The following is a 21685-nucleotide window of genomic DNA, read 5'->3' as shown; positions in this document are numbered from 1 at the left end:
TCATCAACAGTGGAATGGATAAGTAACTTGTAGTGTATACGTATAAGCAATACTGTCCCACAATGAGAATTAATTAACTACAACTACATCTAACAACATTTATATAACAAACATAATATTGAGTGAAAGAAGCCAGACACAAAAAATATATACCATATCATTCTGTTTATGTAAAGTTCAAAAACAGCTAAAGTAATCTATGATGTTGGAATTGATTACTGATTACCTGCAGCAGGAAGAGAGTGCCTGGAAAAGGAGCAGAAGGTAGCTTCTGGGGTTCTGGTAATGCTCTGTTTCTTGATCTGACTGCCAGTTTTACAGATGTGTTCACTTTATGAAAATTCATCAAGGCATAATTTTCTCTATGTATGTTAAACCTCTATTAAAATTTACATTATATATATTATATATTTATGTGTACATATATTGTGTGCATGTATGTGAAATGACAACATTTCAACAAATGAAGTTTTAATGAGTTAGTTGACTTTTATTAGCAATTCATGAACCAGACAGCATCCAGTCTATAAAATAGACAAGAGCTCCACTGGCCATGAAGTCATGGGCAGTGAATTGGTTTAATAGAGAGCTCCACTGGCCGTGAGTTGGTTCTTGTAAGGCAACTTGAGCGGGAACAAGGAAACATCTAGTGCAAAAGGTAAATTGGTTAACATCAGGTTACTAAAGGTTACTCTCCTTGTATGGATTAAAGCAGAGGGGACTTGGTTATTATGCCCGCTCAGCTCAGGTTGACTGGGCCCTTTTAATTGGTTGCTGTGGATTTCCTTTTTTTTTTTTTTTTTTTTTTTTTTTTCAGAAAACTTACTTTCTCCCCTAATCTCTCAGGTCAGACCTTGCAAGTAAACAGCTTAGGTTTTGGTTTGGTGATCAGGAACATTAGCATGAGTGACTCCAGTTTAGGTTGGACTATTGGGACCTAGTACAAGATCTTAGCCCAAATCAATAGCCTCTCATAATTTTTATTTAAGAGTATATACACATATTCACACACACACACAAACACACACACACCTATATATTTCATCCAAACTGTAGCCACTTCTGGCTTCCTCTACTGTTCTCTCTAATCTAAGACTTCTGCAATAGCTGCTTGCCCCAGTTCCACTCTTGCACCCCTGTATCTTCACCAGTAGCCAGAATGAGAATTTTAAGACAGAAGGCATGCCATGTCTGTCCTTGGCTCATAACGAGTAGTAGCTTCCCGTGTAAATCCAAGTAAAATCCTCAGAGGTAACACATATCCCTGACAGTCTATATAAAATAGCCTCACTCAAACCTGTTATGTATCCCTTTACCTGCTTTATTTTTCCTTATAGTTCTTATCACCAACTGACATACCATTTACTTGATTATTTATTTATAATGGCCTTTCTGCCACGAGTATGTAGGCTACAGGAGAGCAGGGACTTTATCTTTCTGCTTTACAGCCTTCACGTCTAGAAAAGTGCATGGCATAATGGATGGATGGATGGATGAATAGATTGATTTGATTGTCACCAAAAAATGTAGAAAATGGGCAGAATATGTATTATTAGCCTTCTTTTATAGGTTTGGAAACTAAGAGAATAAAATTATGTGAGGAAACAAAGAAAATGAAATTACTTACTCAGTGTTATTCAGGAGTACAGCCAGGTCTTCTGTTCCTCTCTCTCACCCTCCTCTTCTCTCTCTTTTTCTCCCTCTGCTCTTCACCTCCCACAAACCCACTCATGCACACAAAGACACTGGCACAAGGAGAATGAAATAAGAACAATTTTCCTCATTAATGAAAGTATGCATGTGAACTACTCTGTTCACTACAATTTTTAGCCATTTTACTCATAGTCATAAAATATATTTTATATTATGTATGTGTAAGATATGTTATATATAATATATAACATATCCTACATATACGTACGTGTGTGTGTGTGTGTGTGTGTGTGTGTGTGTGTGTGTGTTATATAATCCTATTGGCTGAGAATTAAATGAGGATGACAGCCAGGTAAAGATTTATTATATTGGAATTGGGCCTTTTTATATAAGCCTTGATTTGTGGTCGTTTGTTCTATTTGAAAACATGATAAGAAAGAATATTGTTTTGCTTGCCAAAATATGTGGGACCTAGGGCTGGTTTCTTTAGTATTTTGCACTAGAAACTTTTTTAAACAAAGTAAGACTTTTTTTTAAGATCTTGCCCGCCTTGCAAGAATAAAAAACTTTTAAGCCTCTGAAGACAAAGTTTTTGTCAGTGAATGTCCAGAAATTGAGATTGTTTCAGTCAGAAGTCTCACCTCCCTGTTCTCGGAATGAATTGTAGAGCCCCTGGAATAGACAAGGGTGTGTAAGGTTAATTGCTGTTTCTATATAGATATCAATTACCTTTTCAAAGGGCTACCTAGTGGGATTTACCACTTGGCACTTTGTCTAAAAGCTAGCAAAAAGGGGGGTGGGGAGAGGACCAATTTGGTTGTCAACCTATTGATCCTTCAGTGTTGGTTAAAAAAAATAAAAGTTTTAGGCCCTTTCAGTTACTAAGTAGCTAACTACACAGTTTTGTTTTGTTTTTTTATTTAAAAAATGGGAAACAGTGATTATGTGCTCAGCTGCTAGCATTAATGTTTCACCTCCTCCCTCTTAGAAAACAGTAACTATAATATCAAGCCATAACTTTAAAAGCAGATTAAATTAAAAAATGAAGTTCCAAATTCATTGAGTGTAATGAGGCCAATGTCAGATCATTCGTTCATCAAGTAGTTACAGCTTTTAATAAGGCAGAAAATTATAGTTAAAGGGAAATATGGCTTTTATTTATGAATACAAAATAGCCATTAATGTCACAGGAGAAAGCAATGTCAAAGTTTATTCTGAAACTCAGACTTGCAGATGAGCAGAGGAAAGTATAGGGTAGTAAGAATATATGTGTAACTCTAATATGGGAGCTCTACCTTCATCCTGACCACGCAATCTGGAAGCTTTGTAACCTAAAGCAGGTTAGTTAACCAATCTGAATCTCACCTTCCTGGGGATGTAAAATGAGGATGGCTTTTGTGAAGACTAAATGAGGTCATGGTTCTAAAAATGTTTTGTAGCTGAAATAATGTATAGGATTATTACTGTGCTATAATAATTTATTGAATCCCTTTCCTGCCTCTCTCTACCTCCTAAAGCCACTTCTGTAAGATTTAACTAAAGTTTCCCCCTCATCCTTGAGGTTCACTTATCCCTACTGTTGTAGATTAGGATATTTTACCCCAATTAAATGAGAATTTCTCATATGTTCCATGTCTGAATGAGCCTTCCTAAGGCAGAACAGAACTATGACCTTCTCTGAAACCCAAACTATTAATGTTGTACATACATAAACAAGCAGCTCCCTGAGACCTTAAAGGTAGGGGTATTGGAGATAGAAAGTAAAAAGTAGAAGAAATGTCTTCTTTCCCCACCTCAAGATGGAACACTGTCCCATTTTCCTAAGTATTTTTTCTTGTCCCATTTTCCTAAATATTTTTTCTATCTATAGTAGAAAAAGTTACTATTTAATGAACACTTATTATATGCCAAGCACTGTGCTATGCATTATTTCATATAATCCTCACAACAGACTAATGCATTCTGTACTATTATTGCCAGTATAGACAAGAGAACTATAATCAGAGCAATTAAGTAGTTTGACCAGTGTCACATATCTGGTAAGTGGAGAGTCAGGATTTGAACCTAAACCTGCTCAATTCCTTTTCCAGGCTTTTCCTATTATTTACCTCCTACATTTCAACTTCTTTTGTGAAGAAGTTGACACAGACATTATTTCTTTGCATGTCTGTGTTTGCCTTTCTATCCCTTTAAAGTTTCATCTTTGGTGTGCTTGTAATGAGTAGGGTAGGGACCTATAAACAAAGATGACTAAGGTGTGGTCCCTCTGCTTAAGTAGAGGGACTTAATTATTGGCATCTTTCTGCCCATAATCCACTGGCAGAAAAATGACAGGCAAACAAATCACTCTATGACATGGAAGAATTTGTGTGCATGTGTGTATGTGTGTGTGTGTAGCAGTTTTTGTTTGTGTTCTGCAACTTTTAAGTTCAGGTGTACATGTGCAGGATGCTCAGGTTTGTTACATAGGTAATCATGTGCCATGGTGGTTTGCTGCACAGATCATCCCATCCCCTAGGTATTAAGCCCAGCATCCATTAGCTCTTCATCCTGATGCTGTCCCTCCCCAATGCCCCCATCCCCAACAGACCCCAGTGTGTGTTATTCCCCCCTTGTATCCATGGAATAATTTAAGAGGTCATAACAGATGGAGCATCAGCCTCCTCATCTGTAACTTGGAAATAATACTCTACCTTTCAAAACTGTTGTTATGATAGAGTGAAATGCTTATGTCAAGTATATAGCAAATACCCTAACTTGTAGTAAGGGGTCAGTGTATGGAATCTATAATGTGGCCAGACAGTCCAAGGACTGGGATACCAGACTAGAAAAGCAATTTGGAGCCAGATTTTGAGAACCTTGAACGCCATTCCAAAGAATGTGGACCTTCAGCTTGATAAAAACAATTTGCCAAAGTTAATAATTATTCCAAAAAGAAATTAGAGCTGGTGCTATTTTACATTACCTTTCAAAATTCATTGTAAGTGAGATGGAGTTGGTGGAAGCTGTTGTAACTGGTTTAAAGGAATTTTATATTTGATGTGCTAAAAGGAAAGATGGTATTTTTAAGTTTGATGCCTTTTATTTTTTCTTCCACAGTAATTAGTGAATGCCAAAGGCAGCAACTGGAGGCTGTGAGCTACTCCTCTCGATATGCTCTGGGCCTCTTTTATGAAGCTGGTACGAAGATTGATGTCCCTTGGGCTGGGCAGTACATCACCAGTAATCCCTGCATACGCTTCGTCTCCATTGATAATAAGAAGCGCAATATAGGTCAGTACCCCTATTATTTCCCTTAAATACAGCAACAATGGTGGGTGTAGATCATGAAAAATGCTGTTTAATTGAGTGTTGCCATTCTGAACAGAGCAAGCATTTAACTCCAAGCCACAGGGGATAAAATTTAATGTCACATTTGGCCAGTAATAAAATACACAGTGAAACCAGCAAAGTTTTTCAGAATTTCATTCACCACATGGTTTATATTACTGAGTTCATGAAAATAGTGTCAGAAGGTTTAAGATTTCAAAATGGCCCAAGTTCTATTGCTTTAATATGGATGCATCTATATGCACATGTATCTCTCATTTGTTTCTTGGTGAAGTTTGTTTTTGTTTGTTTGGTTTGGGTATTTTTTTTTAATTTGATAAGTGCTGCTCTTCCACTCCCTCGGCTAGAAATTAAAGGAGAATTTTACTATGTTATGAAAATCCTTCATTTCAATATAATTTTATTGTTTATTTACATTTTATCTGGGGAAAAATGGTAAATTTACTTTATAAACAATGTAACGGGTAAAATGTTTTATGAGAGCTTCACTAGAATGTGGTGAATCTACACTCCACCCTTTTTGTTGAAGATAGTTATAAAAATTAGATTTGAATTGTAAGAAAAACATAACTGATTCCTTTTAGGCAAAAAGGTGAAGAAAGTGTATTCTCATTTGTAGGACTGCAGTGATCCCTGAGAATGCTGCTTTTTGTGGAATAACCGTTAAGGATGTAAAATGACTAAAACTCTTGAATTGTCCTGTCAATCTGTTACAGTGTTTTATGGGACAGTAATGGCTTCACCAAGCCATTAGTTAGAAGTCTGGCTTGATAAAATCACCAACTAATGTCTCTTGGCTCGCCAGACCTTCATAATGATAGAACTGGGCTGGAGTATGGTTTTTATATCAGAGCTCATGATCTTAGAAAAATGTTTCTTTTATAACTTAAAACTCCCTTAGGGCTGGACTGTTTATGTTAACATGATACCACATATATGTACAATCAGCAGTTCATAAAATGCCTTAGAACTTCAATGGACTATTTTTAACTCTACAACTGCTTTGTTCTGAGAAAAGGAGACTAACCCTTGATCTTTTCATGTTATATGCCATGAATTAGACATTATCCTGTGTATATTTCATCATAAGATATGATATCTGTCAGGGTGTATTAAGTTGTCTATAACAGAAAAAAAAATTTAAACTTGTTTAATAGCATAAAGACATTTGTTATATTATCTGCTATGGACTGAATTGTGTCTCCTCCACAGACATAGGTTGAAGCCCTAATCCCAATATGGTTGTATTTAGAGATAGGACTTTTAGGAGGTAATTAAGATTAAATGAGGTCCTAAAGGTAGCGCCCTAACCCTGTGGGGTTGATGACCTTAAAAGAAGAGCAAAAGAGAAAGCTCTCTCTTTCTATCCCGGCTTGCACACACCATGTGAGGACATAGTAAGAAGGCAGCTGTCTGCAAGCCAGGAAGATAGCCCCAGCTAAGCCAAATCTACCAGCACCTTGATCTTGGACTTCTCAGCCTCCAGAACTGTGAGAAATTTCTGTTGTTTAAGTCACCCAGTCTATGGTATTTTGTTATGGTAGCCTGAGTTGACTAATACATTATCTAAGGAGAAGATTGGAGAGACTTCAGGGTTCATTGATTCAGGAACTGAGCAATCTCTTCAAAGACCTAGGTTTTATCTTTCTCTGCTCTCTTCCACTCCCAATACTGACATCCTCAGAGGACTGGCAGCAAGATGGCAATAGCTGTTGGAGTCACACTGAACTTAACAACATGCTTAGGAATGAAATGAACTATCACTGGCTCTGTTCCTTTCTAAGAATCAAGGAAATCTTGGGAGGCCAAGGTGGGTGGATCAAGAGGTCAGGAGTTCAAGACCAGACTGGCCAATGTAATGAAACCCTATCTCTACTAAAAATACAAAAAACTAGCTGGGCATGGTGACAAGCGCCTGTAATTCCAGCTACTCGGGAGGCTGAGGCAGGAGAATCACTCTTGAACCCAGGAGGCAGAGGTTGCAGTGAGCAAAGATCGTGCCACTGCACACCAGCCTGGGTGACAGTGCAAGACTCCATCTCAAAAAATAATAACAATAAATAATAATACTAATCAAGGAAATCTTTACAGAAGCCCTTTAATAGACTTCTCCTCATGTGCCACAGGCCAGAATTGGATTACTTGAGTACTCCAAAACCAGGTGCTAGCAAAGAGGGTGGAAGCAATGTGATAAGCCTATACAAGTCCAGTTCTACTCCTGGAACTGGTACTAGGGTCATCTTTCCTTTAGTTATGAGGAGTGCTACCTGAATAAAATAGAGTTTTGTTAGGAAGAAGGAAGGAAGTACTAAATGCTGGATTAGCAATCAATAATGTCCATTATCTTCAAGTAGAGTCACATCTTATATGGGAGGTAAAGTTCTAAAGTTGTCACATAAAAAGAGTCATGTACATTCAAAATTACCTTCAAAGTTTCTTAAAACCACATGACATTTTAGAGAATGATGTAACATCTTTCAGTAAATTCAGTACAACTATTTTCCCAACATTCAATAGATTTCTGTTTCTTTGGTGAAGCCAGATTAAAAGTTGATTTGGATTTATAGGACCCAGTGATATTTTCTACTATGAAAGGCACACAGGAAGGAAAGAAATAGCAGAGTCATATCTCCTAACGGACTATACATCTGCTATAAAAATGGAGTGGGATGGTGGGTAAAAGCACCCACAGTACAGTGCAGTAATAATTTATAAAATTATGCAAATTTGAAAGAGTACAACATAAAATATTAATAAATTATCTCATGATTGGAAGCATTTGAAATAATAGAATTTTAAAAATTTTTTATATCAGCAATCATACAATATTGAAAGGAGTGGCTACATGAATTGGAAACCATGTTTTTGCTAAAGCCCATGGTGGTGCCACTTCAGCAAGCAAAGAAATACCTGCTTTTCTTTGACAACTGTATGGGAAATTAATCTTCAATTATGCGAGTTTTAAATTAAGTGAGACAGAATGCCAGTAATGGCATTTCATAACGTAAAATCTAACTGCTTTGCATTTAAACTATTTTTTTCTCACTATCTGGGGGCCAGGGTACTAAATGGGTCTAGTTGAATTCGCATACTACAAATGCCCATGTAATGTAACTTCACTCTATTTTATTGATATTGATATTTAACTAGGACAGTAAGAGTTTTTTTGTTTTTTTTTTTTAATGTAGTTTCGCTCTGTGGCCCAGGCTGTAGTGTAGTGGCAAGATCTCTGCTCACTGCAACCTCTGCCTCCTGAGCTTAAGCGATTCTCCTGCCTCAGGCTCCCAAGTAGCTGGGAGTACAGGTGCCCGCCTCCATGCCCAGCTAATTATTTTTGTACTTGTAGTAGAGACGGGGCTTCACCAAGTTGGCCAGTCTGGTCTTGAACCCCTGACCTCAAATGATCCAACTGCCTTGGCCTCCCAAAGTGCTGGGATTACAGGCATGAGCCACTGTACCCGGCCAGGAGATGTTTCTTTATGCCAGTAACACTACCCCACACCCTTGCTTTATGTGGGGTGTTTGATTGAATCAATAATTAATACTACAATGTACATACACAACCAATGAAACATTTGTGTTCTGTCAAGGTAGAGAAGCAACAAGATAAACAAAGTCTGGCATGGTTGAGACCACAAAATACAGTCAGTTGTTAAGTCTTGAAGAGAGCTAGAGGATATAGAAGTAGCCCAAAGATCAAGGCATAATAATTTGTTAGAAGTCAGGAATAGGTAGTACAGTAGATGTAGAAAGCCACAGCCAGAACCAAAATTTCCTTAGGCAGAGGGAGTAGATTCCAAGATGTACTAGACCGACTTCAAGTAACAATAGTTATGAATATGCCCCAATATCCTTGTTTGTGTTTCCCAAAATGTGTTCAGTGGAACACTATTTCCTTGAGTTGCTCTTTGAAAAAGGGCTCTGTCATCAAATAAATTTGCAAAATACTACAGACATTTATTTTGGAGAATATCAGGACATATTATCTTTTTAAAGGATATTCCTACAGAAAAGACACCTTTTTACTTCTTTTAATCTAGAATTTCCTAAATGTACTTTATCATGGGATATTGTATTTCAGCACCAAACCTACTAACATCCCACAGAAATGGTTCCCAAGTATATATTTGAGAAACCCTGACTTGATGTCACCTTTCATGCTTCACACCTGGGCAGGAATTGTAGGCCAGATAATTGGAGTGGGAGGTTCGTTCCTGAAGGCATCAATTGGGAAATACTTGAGATTTTTTTTAGAAATGAAAGAACCCTTGTTGCCAATAAACTCAAATCTTCATGGAGTTAAAATTTGAGAAAATTTATGTTAAAATAAGGTGTTTATCATATTAACTTGGGTAGTTTTTAAAATTAGTAAGATTGGCGTAGTGGGAAGTATTTGGACTCACAAGACCTACATTCAGATTCTGGTTCTGAAAAATGCTACTGTTGTACTTTTGTATAGGTCTTGTATTTGTAACGCTAGTGTTTTTAGTAAACATACCCAAAAACTTTAATGGCCTGAACATGACTGAGGTTTATTTCTTGCTCACCTAAAGCCCAAACAGGTGTTTGTGATTGATAGGTAGCTTTCTTCAAAGCTTTATTTAGGAACCCAGGCTCCATCCATTTTTTGACTCTGCCAACTTCATCAGGTAACTACCAGAGTCAGTGTGCTCATAGGCATCAATCTGTGGATGGAAAGAGGATGGAGGAGAGCCAGAGGAGTTTTTAGGGGTAGGCCTAGAAATGGTGCACCTCAAGTGTGCTCACATTCTGTTGGTTAGGACACAGTTATGTGACCACACTTATTTGGAAGGAAAGCTGGAAATGTAGTCTACCTATATATGTAGGAAGAAGAAAAAGTGGATTTGGTGAACATCTAGCCAGTTTCTACTAAAACATTTAGTATAAATTGTTCTGTAAAAGGAACAGATTATACCTGTGTGAATGATAAATAGGTTTCAACACAAGTGAGAATCATTCAATAAGTAGTTGCCACCTAGAACAACAACTAAGAATGATTCCCAGGCTGGGTATAGACTCAGTAGAAAAAGATCTTCCAACAATCAGCAATATCTGTCATGTAGAGAACATAAGGAATAGTGCCACAAGTGAGATACATTTACCTCTCAAGAAGATCTCTGAGGTCCATCCCAGGATCTTAAATTTGAAGTTAGACTGTCCAGGAGTCCAGACTCAACTCAGTTCCACCATTTACTAGCTGTGTAACTTTGGGTAAATTAAACTATCTGTTGCCTCCTCAATAAGATAAGTAAAATAATACCATACCAATACCAAAGGGTTACTGAGAATTAAATGATTCGAACATATGAAGACTTTGTGTGGCATTTAGAAAGTAAGTATTTATGGTACGTATTATTATAATTAACAGTTCCAGTCTTCAATTTGGATATTATAGTCTCTGAAGCAAAGGGCATAAATATAAAAGTCTAACTTAGGTGAATGCAGCCTCTGTTACCAATACAGATAGGAGTTAGGGCAACTTAAATAAATAAAATGAGTAAGCAACCCTGAAAATGATCAGAAATTTAGCATTCTTTCCTTGTCACCATCTGAGGAGTGTTAATGATCAATAAAATAGCCAATAGGCAGCAATCTGAGGAGATTAAGACAATCTATCTGAATTCTAGAGATGTGATGGCCAATAGCCAATAGTCAGCAATCTGAGGAGATTAAGACAATCTATCTGAATTCTAGAGATGTGATGGCCAATAGCCATAATGACATAGTTTTCAATATCTTATCAAAGAAAATAATCCAACTCATCTTAAAAGAAGAAAAGCAAATGAACAAACTTAGAATGTATTCATAGAATTTATCCTCACAAGAATTTTATTGTTAGAATCTTTGAGTAACAAACACTAATATAATATATAATACCTTCAATGGCTGTTTTGCAAAATATGCAGAAGTGTTATTCCATATGGCTATTTATTACGTCAACTCTTTATAAAAAGAAGGACATAATATGAGATGTTATAAATAACTGGGATGGGCCTGAGGCTTTAAATCCTGTCACCTTGTGACACTTAAAAGAGTTCATGATTATTCCAATTAAACAAATAGCCGTGAACTTTATAACACAAAATTGTCCACTTAAGAATTGAATCGGGGGGCAGTTCCAAGACGGCTGAATAGGAACAGCTCCAGTCTACAGCTCCCGGCATGAGTAACGCAGAAGACAGGTGATTTCTGCATTTCCAACTGAGGTACCGGGTTCATCTCACTGGGGCTTGTTGGACAGTGGGTGCAGAATGGTGGGTGCAGGACACCGAGCATGAGCCAAAGCAGGGAGAGGCATCGCCTCACGTGGGAAGCGCAAGGGGTAGGGAATTCCCTTTCATAGCCAAGCAAAGCTGCGACAGACAGCACTTGGAAAATCAGTCACTCCCACCCTAATACTGCTCTTTTCCAATGGTCTTAGCAAACGGCACACCAGGAGATTATATCCCGCGCAAGGATCAGAGGGTCCCATGCCCACGGAGCCTTGCTCATCTCTCGTTGCCAGCACAGCAGTCTGAGATCGAACTGCAAGGCAGCAGCGAGGCTGGGGGAGGGGTGCCCACCATTGCTGAAGTTCGAGTAGGTAAACAAAGCGATCTGGAAGCTCGAACTGGGTGGAGCCCACCGCAGCTCAAGGAGGCCTGCCTGCCTCTGTAGACCCCACCTCTGGGGGCAGGGCATAGCCAAACAAAAGGCAGCAGAAACCTCTGCAGACTTAAATGTCCCTGCCTGACAGCTTTGAAGAGAGTAGTGGTTCTCCCAGAATGGAGTTTGAGATCTGAGAACGGACAGACTGCCTCCTCAAGTGGGCCCCTGACCCCCGAGTAGCCTATCTCGGAGGCACCCCTCAGTAGGGGCAGACTGACACGTCACACGGCCAGGTATCCTGCTGAGACGAAACCTCCACAGGAACAATCAGACAGCAACATTTGCTGTTCAGCAATATTCCCTGTTCTGCAGCCTCCACTGCTGATACCCAGGCAAACGGTCTGGAGTGGATCTCCAGAAAACTCCAACAGACCTGCAGCTGAGGGTCCTGACTGTTAGAAGGAAAACTAACAAACAGAAAGGACATCCACACCAAAACCCCATCTGTACGTCAGCATCATCAAAGACCAAAGGTAGATAAAACTGCAAAGATGGGGAAAAAACAGAACAGAAAAACTGAAAATTCTAAAAATCAGAGCGCCTCTCCTCCTCCAAAGGAATGCAGCTCCTCACCAGCAACGGAACAAAACAGGACAGAGAATGACTTTGACAAGTTGAGAGAAGAAGGCTTCAGATGATCAAACTTCTCCAAGCTAAAGGAGGAAGTTCTAACCCATGGCGAAGAAGTTAAAAACCTTGAAAAAAGATTAGACAAATGGCTAACTAGAATAACCAATGCAGAGAAGTCCTTAAAGGACCTGATGGAGCTGAAAACCATGGCACAAGAACTACGTGACGAATGCACAAGCTTCAGTAGCCGATTCAATCAACTGGAAGAAAGGGTATCAATGATGGATGATCAGATGAATGAAATGAAGCGAGAAGAGAAGTTTAGAGAAAAAAGAATAAATAGAAACAAACAAAGCCTCCAAGAAATATAGGACTATGTGAAAAGACCAAATCTACGTCTGATTGGTGTACCCGAAAGTGAAGGGGAGAATGGAACCAACTTGGAAAACACTCTGCAGGATGTTATCCAGAGAATTTCCTGAACCTAGCAAAGCAGGCCAACATTCAAATTCAGGAAATAGAGAGAACGCCACAAAGATAATTGTCGAGAAGAGCAACTCCAAGACACATAATTGTCAGATTCACCAAAGTTGAAATGAAGGAAAAAATGTTAAGGGCAGCCAGAGAGAAAGGTCCGGTTACCCTCAAGGGGAAGCCCATCAGACTAACAGCTGATCTCTCGGCAGAAATTACAAGCCAGAAGAGAGGGGGGGCCAATATTCAACATTCTTAAAGGAAAGAATTTTCAACCCAGAATTTCATATCCAGCCAAACTAAGCTTCATAAGTGAAAGAGAATTAAAATCCTTTACAGACAAGCAAATGCTGAGAGATTTTTGTCACCACCAGGCCTGCCCTACAAGAGCTCCTGAAGGAAGCACTAAACATGGAAAGGAACAACTGGTACCAGCCACTGCAAAAACATGCCAAATTGTAAAGACCATTGATGCTAGGAAGAAACCGCATCAACTAACGAGCAAAATAACCAGCTAACATCATAATGACAGGATCAAATTCATACATAACAATATTAACTTTACATGTAAACAGGCTAAATGCTCCAATCAAAAGACAGAGACTGGCAAATTGGATAAAGAGTCAAGACCCATCAGTGTGCTGTATTCAGGAAACCCATCTCACTTGCAGAGACACACATAGGCTCAAAATAAAGGGATGGAGGAAGATCTACCAAGCATACCAAGCAAATGGAAAACAAAGGCAGGGGTTGCAATCCTAGTCTCTGATAAAACAGACTTTAAACCAACAAAGATCAAAAGAGACAAAGAAGACCATTACATAATGGTAAAGGGATCAATTCAACAAGAAGAGCTAACTATCCTAAATATATATGCACCCAATACAGGAGCACCCAGATTCATAAAGCAAGTCCTTAGAGACCTACAAAGAGACTTAGACTCCCATACAATAATAATGGGAGATTTAACACCTCATTGTCAACATCAGATAGATCAACGAGACAGAAACTTAACAAGGATATCCAGGAATTGAATTCAGATCTGCACCCAGCAGACCTAATAGACATCTACAGAACTCTCCACCTCAAATCAACAGAATATACATTCTTCTCAGCACCACACTGCACCTATTCCAAAATTGACCACATAGTTGGAAGTAAAGCACTCCTCAGCAAATGTAAAAGAACAGAAATTATAACAAACTGTCTCTGAGACGACAGTGCAATCAAACAAGAACTCAGGATTAAGAAACTCACTCAAAACTGCTCAACTACATGGAAACTGAACAAGCTGCTCCTGAATGACTACTGGCTACATAATGAAATGAAGGCAGAAATAAAGATGTTCTTTGAAACCAACGAGAACAAAGACACAACATACCAGAATCTCTGGGACACATTTACAGCAGTGTGTAGAGGGAAATTTATAGCACTAAATGCCCACAAGAGAAAGCAGGAAAGATCTAAAATTGACACCCTAACATCACAATTAAAAGAACTAGAGAAGCAAGAGCAAACACATTCAAAAGCTAGCAGAAGGCAGGAAATAACTAAGATCAGAGCTAGCTAAGCTAAATAACTAAGGAGATAGAGTTATTAAAACCCTTCAAAAAATCAATGAATCCAGGAGCTGGTTTTTTGAAAAGATCAGCAAAATTGATAGACCGCTACCAAGACTAAAAAAGAAGAAAACAGAGAAGAATCAAATAGGTGCAATAAAAAATGATAAAGGGGATATCCCCACTGATCCCACAGAAATACCAAGTACCATCACAGAATACTATAAACACCTCTACGCAAATAAACTATAAAATCTAGAAGAAATGGATAAATTCCTGGACACATACACCTTCCTAAGACTAAACCAGGAAGAAGTTGAATCTCTTAATAGACCAATAACAGGCTCTGAAATTGAGGCAATAATTAATAGCTTACCAACCAAAAAAAGTCGAGGACCAGACAGATTCACCACCGAATTCCACCAGAGGTACAAGGAGGAGCTGGTACCATTCCTTCTGAAACTATTCCAATCGGTAGAAAAAGAGGGAATCCTCCCTAACTCATTTTATGAGGCCAGCATCATGCTGATACCAAAGCCTGGCAGAGACACAACAAAAAAAGAGAACCTTAGGCCAATATCCCTGATGAACATCGATGCAAAAATCCTCAATAAGATACTGGCAAACCAAATCCAGCAGCACATCAAAAAGCTTATCTACCATGATCAAGTGAGCTTCATCACTGGGATGCAAGGCTGGTTCAACATATGCAAATCAATAAACGTAATCCAGCATGTAAACAGAACCAAAGACAAAAGCCACAGGATTATCTCAATAGATGCAGAAAAGGCCTTTGACAAAATTCAACAACCCTTCATGCTAAAAACTCTCAATAAATTATGTATTGATGGGATGTATCTCAAAATAATAAGAGCTATTTATGACAAACCCACAACCAATATCATCCTGAATGGGCAAAAACTGGAAGCATTCCCTTTGAAAACTGGCACAAGACAGGGATGCCCTCTCTCACCACTCCTATTCAACATAGTGTTGGAAGTTCTGGCCAGGGCAATCAGGCAGGAGAAAGAAATAAAGGGTATTCAATTAGGAAAAGAGGAAGTCAAATTGTCCCTGTTTGCAGATGACATGACTGTATATCTAGAAAACCCCATCATCTCACCACAAAATCTCCTTAAGCTGATAAGCAACTTCAGCAAAGTCTCAGGATACAAAATCAATGTACAAAAATCACAAGCATTCTTATACACCAATAACAGACAGAGAGCCAAATCATGAGTGAAATCCCATTCACAATTGCTTCAAAGACAATAAAATACTAGGAAGCCAACTTACAAGGGATGTGAAGGACCTCTTCAAGGAGAACTACAAACCACTACTCAACAAAATAAAAGAGGACACAAACAAATGGAAGAACATTCCATGCTTATGGATAGGAAGAATCAATATCATGAAAATGGCCATACTGCCCAAGGTAATTTATAGATTCAATGCCATCCCCATCAAGCTACCAATGACTTTCTTCACAGAATTGGAAAAAACTACTTTAAAGTTCATATGGAACCAAAAAAGAGCCTGCTAACAAAGCTGGAGGCATCACGCTACCTGACTTCAAACTATACTACAAGGCTACAGTAACCAAAACAGCATGGTACTGGTACCAAAACAGCGATATAGACCAATGGAACAGAACAGAGCCCTCAGAAATAATACCACACATCTACAACTATCTGATTTTTGACAAACCTGACAAAGACAAGAAATGGGGAAAGGATTCCCTATTTAACAAATGGTGCTGGGAAAACTGGCTAGCCATATGTAGGAAGCTGAAACTGGATCCCTTCCTTACACCGTACACAAAAATTAATTCAAGATGGATTAAAGACTTAAATGTTAGACCTAAAACCATAAAAACCATAGAAGAAAACATAGGCATTACCATTTAGGACATAGGGATGGGCAAGGACTTCATGTCTAAAGCACCAAAAGCAATGGCAACAAAAGCCAAAATTGACAAATGGGATCTAATTAAACTAAAGAGCTTCTGCACAGCAAAAGAAACTACCATCAGAGTGAATGGGCAACCTACAGAATGGGAAAAAATTTTTGCAATCTACTCATCTGACAAAGGACTAATATCCTGAATCTAGAAAGAACTCAAACAAATTTACAAGAAAAAAAACAACCCCACCAACAAGTGGGCGAAGGATATGAACAGACACTTCTCAAAAGAAGACATTTGTGCAGCCAGCAGACACATGAAAAAATGCTCCTTATCACTGGCCATCAGAGAAATGCAAAACAAAACCACAATGAGATATCATCTCACACCAGTTAGAATAGTGATCATTAAAATGTCAGGAAACAACAGGTGCTGGAGAGGATGTGGAGAAATAGGAACACTTTTACACTGTTGGTGGGACTGTAAACTAGTTCAACCCTTGTGGAATACAGTGCGGCGATTCCTCAGGGATCTAGAACTAGAAATACCATTTGACCCAGCCAACCCATTACTGGGTGTATACCCAAAGGAATATAAATCATGCTGCTATAAAGACACATGCACACATACATTTATTGCAGCACTACTCACAATAGCAAAGACTTGGAACCAACCCGAATGTCCAACAATGATAGACTGGATTAAGAAAATGTGGCACATATACACCATGGAATACTATGCAGCCATAAAAAAGGATGAGTTCATGTCCTTTGTAGGGACATGGATGAAGCTGGAAACCGTCATTCTCAGCAAACTATCGCAAGGACAAAAAACCAAACACCGCATGTTCTCACTCATAGGTGGGAATTGAACAATGAGAACACTTGGACACAGGAAGGAGAACATCGCACACCAGGGCATGTCATGGGGTGGGAGGAGGGGGGAGGGATAGCATTAGGAGATATACCGAATGTAAATTATGAGTTAATGGATGCAGCACATCAACATGGCACATGTATACATATGTAACAAACCTGCACGTTGTGCACATGTACCCTAGAACTTAAAGTATAATAAAAATGTATACATATTAAAAAAAAAAAAGAATTGAATGAACATGGAACCATTTGAACTTGCAGAAAATGCAATCCAGACAGGCAAAACTTTTTAAGTAGAACAAAAAAGGAAGACTGAGAAGAAGGGAAAAGGAGAGAAGGAAAAGAAAAGAAGAACCATAATCATGAAAAACTGTCAGGTTTCCCGTTTGGGCTTTTGTTTTAAAATATCAGACCTCTCAGATAAATTAGTAATCCTCATCTTAAAATAATAAGCAGTGACTAGTAATCATGACATTTTGTCATTTATATAATAGACATAGTTATTTGTAATTCAGTTATGTAACTGATGTTTTCCCTATAAATCTGTTAAAGCAATTTAATTAACAGCTGTCAAATACTAATTGCAAATATTCATCTCATTATTTTAGTGTTGTCATAGAATATCATGTGATAGTAATATCAGATCTTGGGGTGGTCTCTCAGGAAGAAAAATATATATATATACACAATGTATATATGTACTTATATACAATATGTGTATATACACATATATACATACGTAAAAATAAATATTTTTTGTTATTTAAATTAATAGGCACAAATTATAAAATAGAATATTGTGATTTCATATATTTCTCACTTTTAAAACCAAATATGGGGACCAGGTTCACTTGCTCATGCCTATAATCTCACCACTTTGGGAGGCCAAGGCAGGAGGATTGCCTGAGGCCAGGAGTTCACACCAGCCTGGAATATGTAGATCCCAACTCCATCTCTGTTATTTAAAATAAAGGGGAGGGGACTTTTATTAGAGAATGAAATAACCCAGCCCATTTTGTAAGGAGAACATTTGCACACAAAGTAAAAACAAACAACAGACCCCTTTCAGCCTCTAGTTTCCCTGTCAAGTTATCCTCAAGGGGAAAGATTTACATCTAAGACAACATTTGCCCTCTCACTTGCAAAGCAACTTAACTCAGTATGAAAATCAATGCCAGAGATGGAATGAAAGTAGAAAATCAGCTAACTATAGAAATCAAAAATAAACTTTAAATACATCTTATGGAATATACTGCTGTGGAAGTGTCTTTCAGCACAATTGAACTCCCAAATATTTGTGTCTTTCATCCTCATTCAATTGAACAAATATATACAAATATGTATTGAATTCCTTCTGTGTGCCAGGCATTGTGCTAAGAACTGAGGACTCCATAGTCCCTACCGTCATGAAACACAGTTTCATGAAGTCTGCTCAAATGAGAAATTCTGAAGGAAGTAAGGTGATGCTCTGTTGCACTCGTAATTTGCAGTCAAGTAAGAGTTCTCATGAATATAAAAAGATGCTCGGATCTATACAATATATAGAATGCTAACTCACACTCATGATCAAAACCAGGAAGGGCCATGTTGCCTTGTGACAATATTATGAGCTTTCAAAGGAAAAGTTATGGTCTTCTGTCAACATTAACCCAATAATCTCTTTTCTTTAAGGTGAGGAAATGAAAAATGAGGGCTATGGAACATTTAAATCCATGAATAAATCAGAAACTTTAATAGGGAATATGATTTAACTTTCTCCTGGGGATGCCAAAAAAGTTCAATAGATGCATATAAGTCATGAAATGTCCAAGAAATAGCAAAAGGTTAAGTCTACAGCTGCCTGGCATTTCTATAGCTATAAACAAGTCCAAATTACAGATCTATACAGCATCCATACTAAAACGTGAGTCTTAAACATTAAATACCCTAAGTCCCATTTGTGTCAACATTACACCTCATGTTCTGCCTGCCTTGCTCTCTGAAAATGATATTTTCCCTTGTGGATAGGCCTAAATGTGTGGCTGTCAGGCTGAGATTTATAAAAGACCTTCAGGTTGGCCAAGAATTGGTTCAGAATCTAAGAGCCAGCCAGATGTGGTGGGGACTGAGTATAGTTTCTATCCATCATTTGTCCGGGGGAAAGCAGGAATGAGAATCAGATGACTGTTCATGATGAATAAATGTGTGGATCTGAAATTTATAGGTCATAGATGAGATGAGAGCATCAGAAAACATGGACAGAGGCCACCGTCTCTGCTGCCAACTGAGAAAGGAAACAGCAAGAGGAAACCCCACTGTGTGTTGGCTCTGTAAAGAGATAGGGATGGCCAATGTAAAGACAGAGGGAAAACCAGCAAGGGTCACAGGTGGGAACTGGCGCAGTCTTTCAGACCTCCCCACTAACAAAGGTCAAGTAATAAGTGTGTAACAAACTATTCTGTAGTGAAAAAACTGCTGTATTAAATATAATAGCAACTTACTTTTGCTATTATAATTACAGTCCTTTTAATAGGATTATTCTTTCTTCTGGGGAGCATTTATAAAGATAAGATGCTAGTTTGAAAATGGGAGGAGAGAGAGCTAAATTACTCTGCCTAATTGAGGAGAAAATTTCAGATATCCTGAGGCAATGGGGGAGGGGAAGGAACAAAGAAAGGGCGAAAAGAAAACCAGGTGGTGGAAGTTCCAGCTTGACCAGAGGGATTAATATGTAGATTTTAAACTTGTTTGCTGTTTAGTTTACTTTGTGGCCCTCCCACAACTCTCTACAACCTCAGTATGGTTCTGGTGTGAGCAGTTGCTTTATATCCATCATTGCTTTTTTATTGGGGGGGGTTGGTGTTTAAATTAAGATAGCCCAGACACTTTTTGGAATATCTAGGATGAACTTAGATAGGAACGTTATGGTTTCTTTAGGTTGGTTCCTTTGCAGAAATTTAGTCTGCTGCCTAAATGGCAATATCGACATCTATTTGATAACCTTATTTTGAATTAAAACAGAGCTCTTCATACTCTGAATCTCAAATATAGAAAGCTCAGCTTGCTGTTTCCATAATACCTGCACCATGTCAATCTGTTCAGAGAGGGAACCTGGAAAAAGGCTGTCTGTGGGACTGAGCTGTTTTGAAGGATCTTGAAGTTAAGTCCTTACTGTGGTCTGAAGTGAAGCTGTCAACACTCTGGGTCGTAAGCCCAGGGCTCAAAATAATGTGAGCTGCTCTGCTTCCCAGATAAGTGCCTGGTTTTCATCATTCTGGAGGCATCTCAAAACCTTTGCAAGTTGAGAACAGTATCATAAAACTGCGTAAATCACAGACTGCTTGTGAGCCTCAGGTCCTGGGAAACAGTAAAGACTTGAGCTGGATAAGAATTTGACAAGTCTTCATTGTGGTCCATTTTTATCTGGGACCATGACAACATTATCCCAAAGAGATGGGATCATTCCTTTGCCTAGAGCTCCCTCAGAAAAGATTTCACCACTTTCCTCACTGTCAAGAATTCCTCTTCAGATCAGTCTAAATGTCTCATGGGCTAAAGAAGTAATACGCTCTGACTGCAGAGCCTGCTGCTTTCTCCAAAATTAGAAGCTTTCTCCATTAGTGGGAATACATGCCACAATCCATCACACATGTGACACATCTGTTGATACTTCTTATCTTGATCAAGATTGAAAATAAGAGACACTAACATCACGGCATAATAGGAATGTGTATTCAGTGCTTGATAAATATTTGCTGAGCCAGTAGTCCTTTTTGCAACTCTGAAATGCCCTTCCCTGCTCCTGAAATAACATTGAGAATTAATACTTCAGCACTGGTCACCCACTTAGCAAGCAAGGAAAAGTAATGGCTAGTCAGCAAATTGTTTATCTCTAAAACAGTCTAGATGTCTGTTACCACTACCCTTTAAATCACATAAAATGAATAAGCTCTTCGTTTAATTGCTGAATCTGAAAGCCACTGAAAAGCATATGTGAGTTCTTCGCAATTAGAATGATTAGAAGCCTCTTTTTGGATGTTCTGTACCATGCCTAGAACACTGGGAATACTTGACTATATAGTATTGTCAGTAAAACCTGAAAAGGAGAAACAAGTATTCTTAGCAACAGTTTTACTGTGGTCTCTGAGGAGTATACATCTGCTTTGAATGATGCCCCGTAACACAAACCGTGATTTCCAAGGTTACACTTCAAAGAATCCCACTGTTCTCTTTGTGAAGGATATTTCTTTTTAATAGTTTGTTAAAGAACAACTGTGCTCCAGCTGAGATATTTAACTTAGAAAATATATGATAAGCTCTGTAAATGTGCCATTTCTCTGCCACAGTTTAGCAATTATCTCTCTTTTTATATCAGAATGATATTAAAATGAAATGCTATCTTGCATTGGAATCTTGCCATAAATGATGAGTTCATATTAACCCAACTTGGTGAGTGATTAATTCTTTATTGTATAATTCATGATTTGGTTTTTATTATTATGAGTGGTAAAAAATAACCAGTATTATCTAATATACTGCAATGGACTTCTGAATCACACAGACCTATTTTCATACTGTAACTCAGCACTTAGAATTAGGTTGAAGCATATGATATTGCTGTCTTTATAGATTAAAAATGGTCCAATATCAGCATTTTCATGTGATTCAAC

General features: G+C 38.2%; 1 protein-coding gene and 1 long non-coding RNA gene across 17 annotated transcripts in view, besides 1 other annotated feature; one reads left to right on the top strand and one right to left on the bottom strand.

Moving 5' to 3' along the window:
- Window positions 1-21685, bottom strand: part of LOC101929727 (uncharacterized) — a 248010-nt gene that overhangs the window by 12644 nt on the left and 213681 nt on the right. Inside the window, exon 1 of one of the 2 annotated variants that reach the window (XR_007062226.1) lies at window positions 1628-1880. The exons of the other annotated variant lie outside the window; for it this stretch is intronic. This is a non-coding gene — a long non-coding RNA (uncharacterized LOC101929727). Of the gene's footprint in view, window positions 1-1627; window positions 1881-21685 lie in introns of those variants that run through there. 2 annotated transcript variants of the gene reach the window in all.
- Window positions 1-21685, top strand: part of RNLS (renalase, FAD dependent amine oxidase) — a 411796-nt gene that overhangs the window by 215841 nt on the left and 174270 nt on the right. For all 15 annotated transcript variants that reach the window (XR_001747122.3, XM_017016382.3, XM_011539924.4 and 12 more), the window contains one exon: window positions 4753-4926. Coding sequence is in view for 14 of the 15 variants with exons in the window: in XM_017016382.3 (XP_016871871.1) it covers window positions 4753-4926 (174 nt within the window). In the remaining variant the exon portion in view is untranslated. The remainder of the gene's footprint in view (window positions 1-4752; window positions 4927-21685) is intronic.
- Window positions 19290-19953: an enhancer, noted in NCBI's record as "NANOG-H3K4me1 hESC enhancer chr10:90107282-90107945 (GRCh37/hg19 assembly coordinates)". NCBI's record gives its function as "activates a minimal SCP1, AML or CMV promoter by ChIP-STARR-seq in primed H9 embryonic stem cells {active_cell/tissue: H9 hESC(primed)}" and the evidence as "EXISTENCE:reporter gene assay evidence [ECO:0000049][PMID:30033119]".

This window comes from Homo sapiens, chromosome 10, assembly GCF_000001405.40.
Source record: "Homo sapiens chromosome 10, GRCh38.p14 Primary Assembly".
Classification (NCBI taxonomy): domain Eukaryota; kingdom Metazoa; phylum Chordata; class Mammalia; order Primates; family Hominidae; genus Homo; species Homo sapiens.
This window is presented reverse-complemented; position numbering and strand designations above follow the sequence as displayed.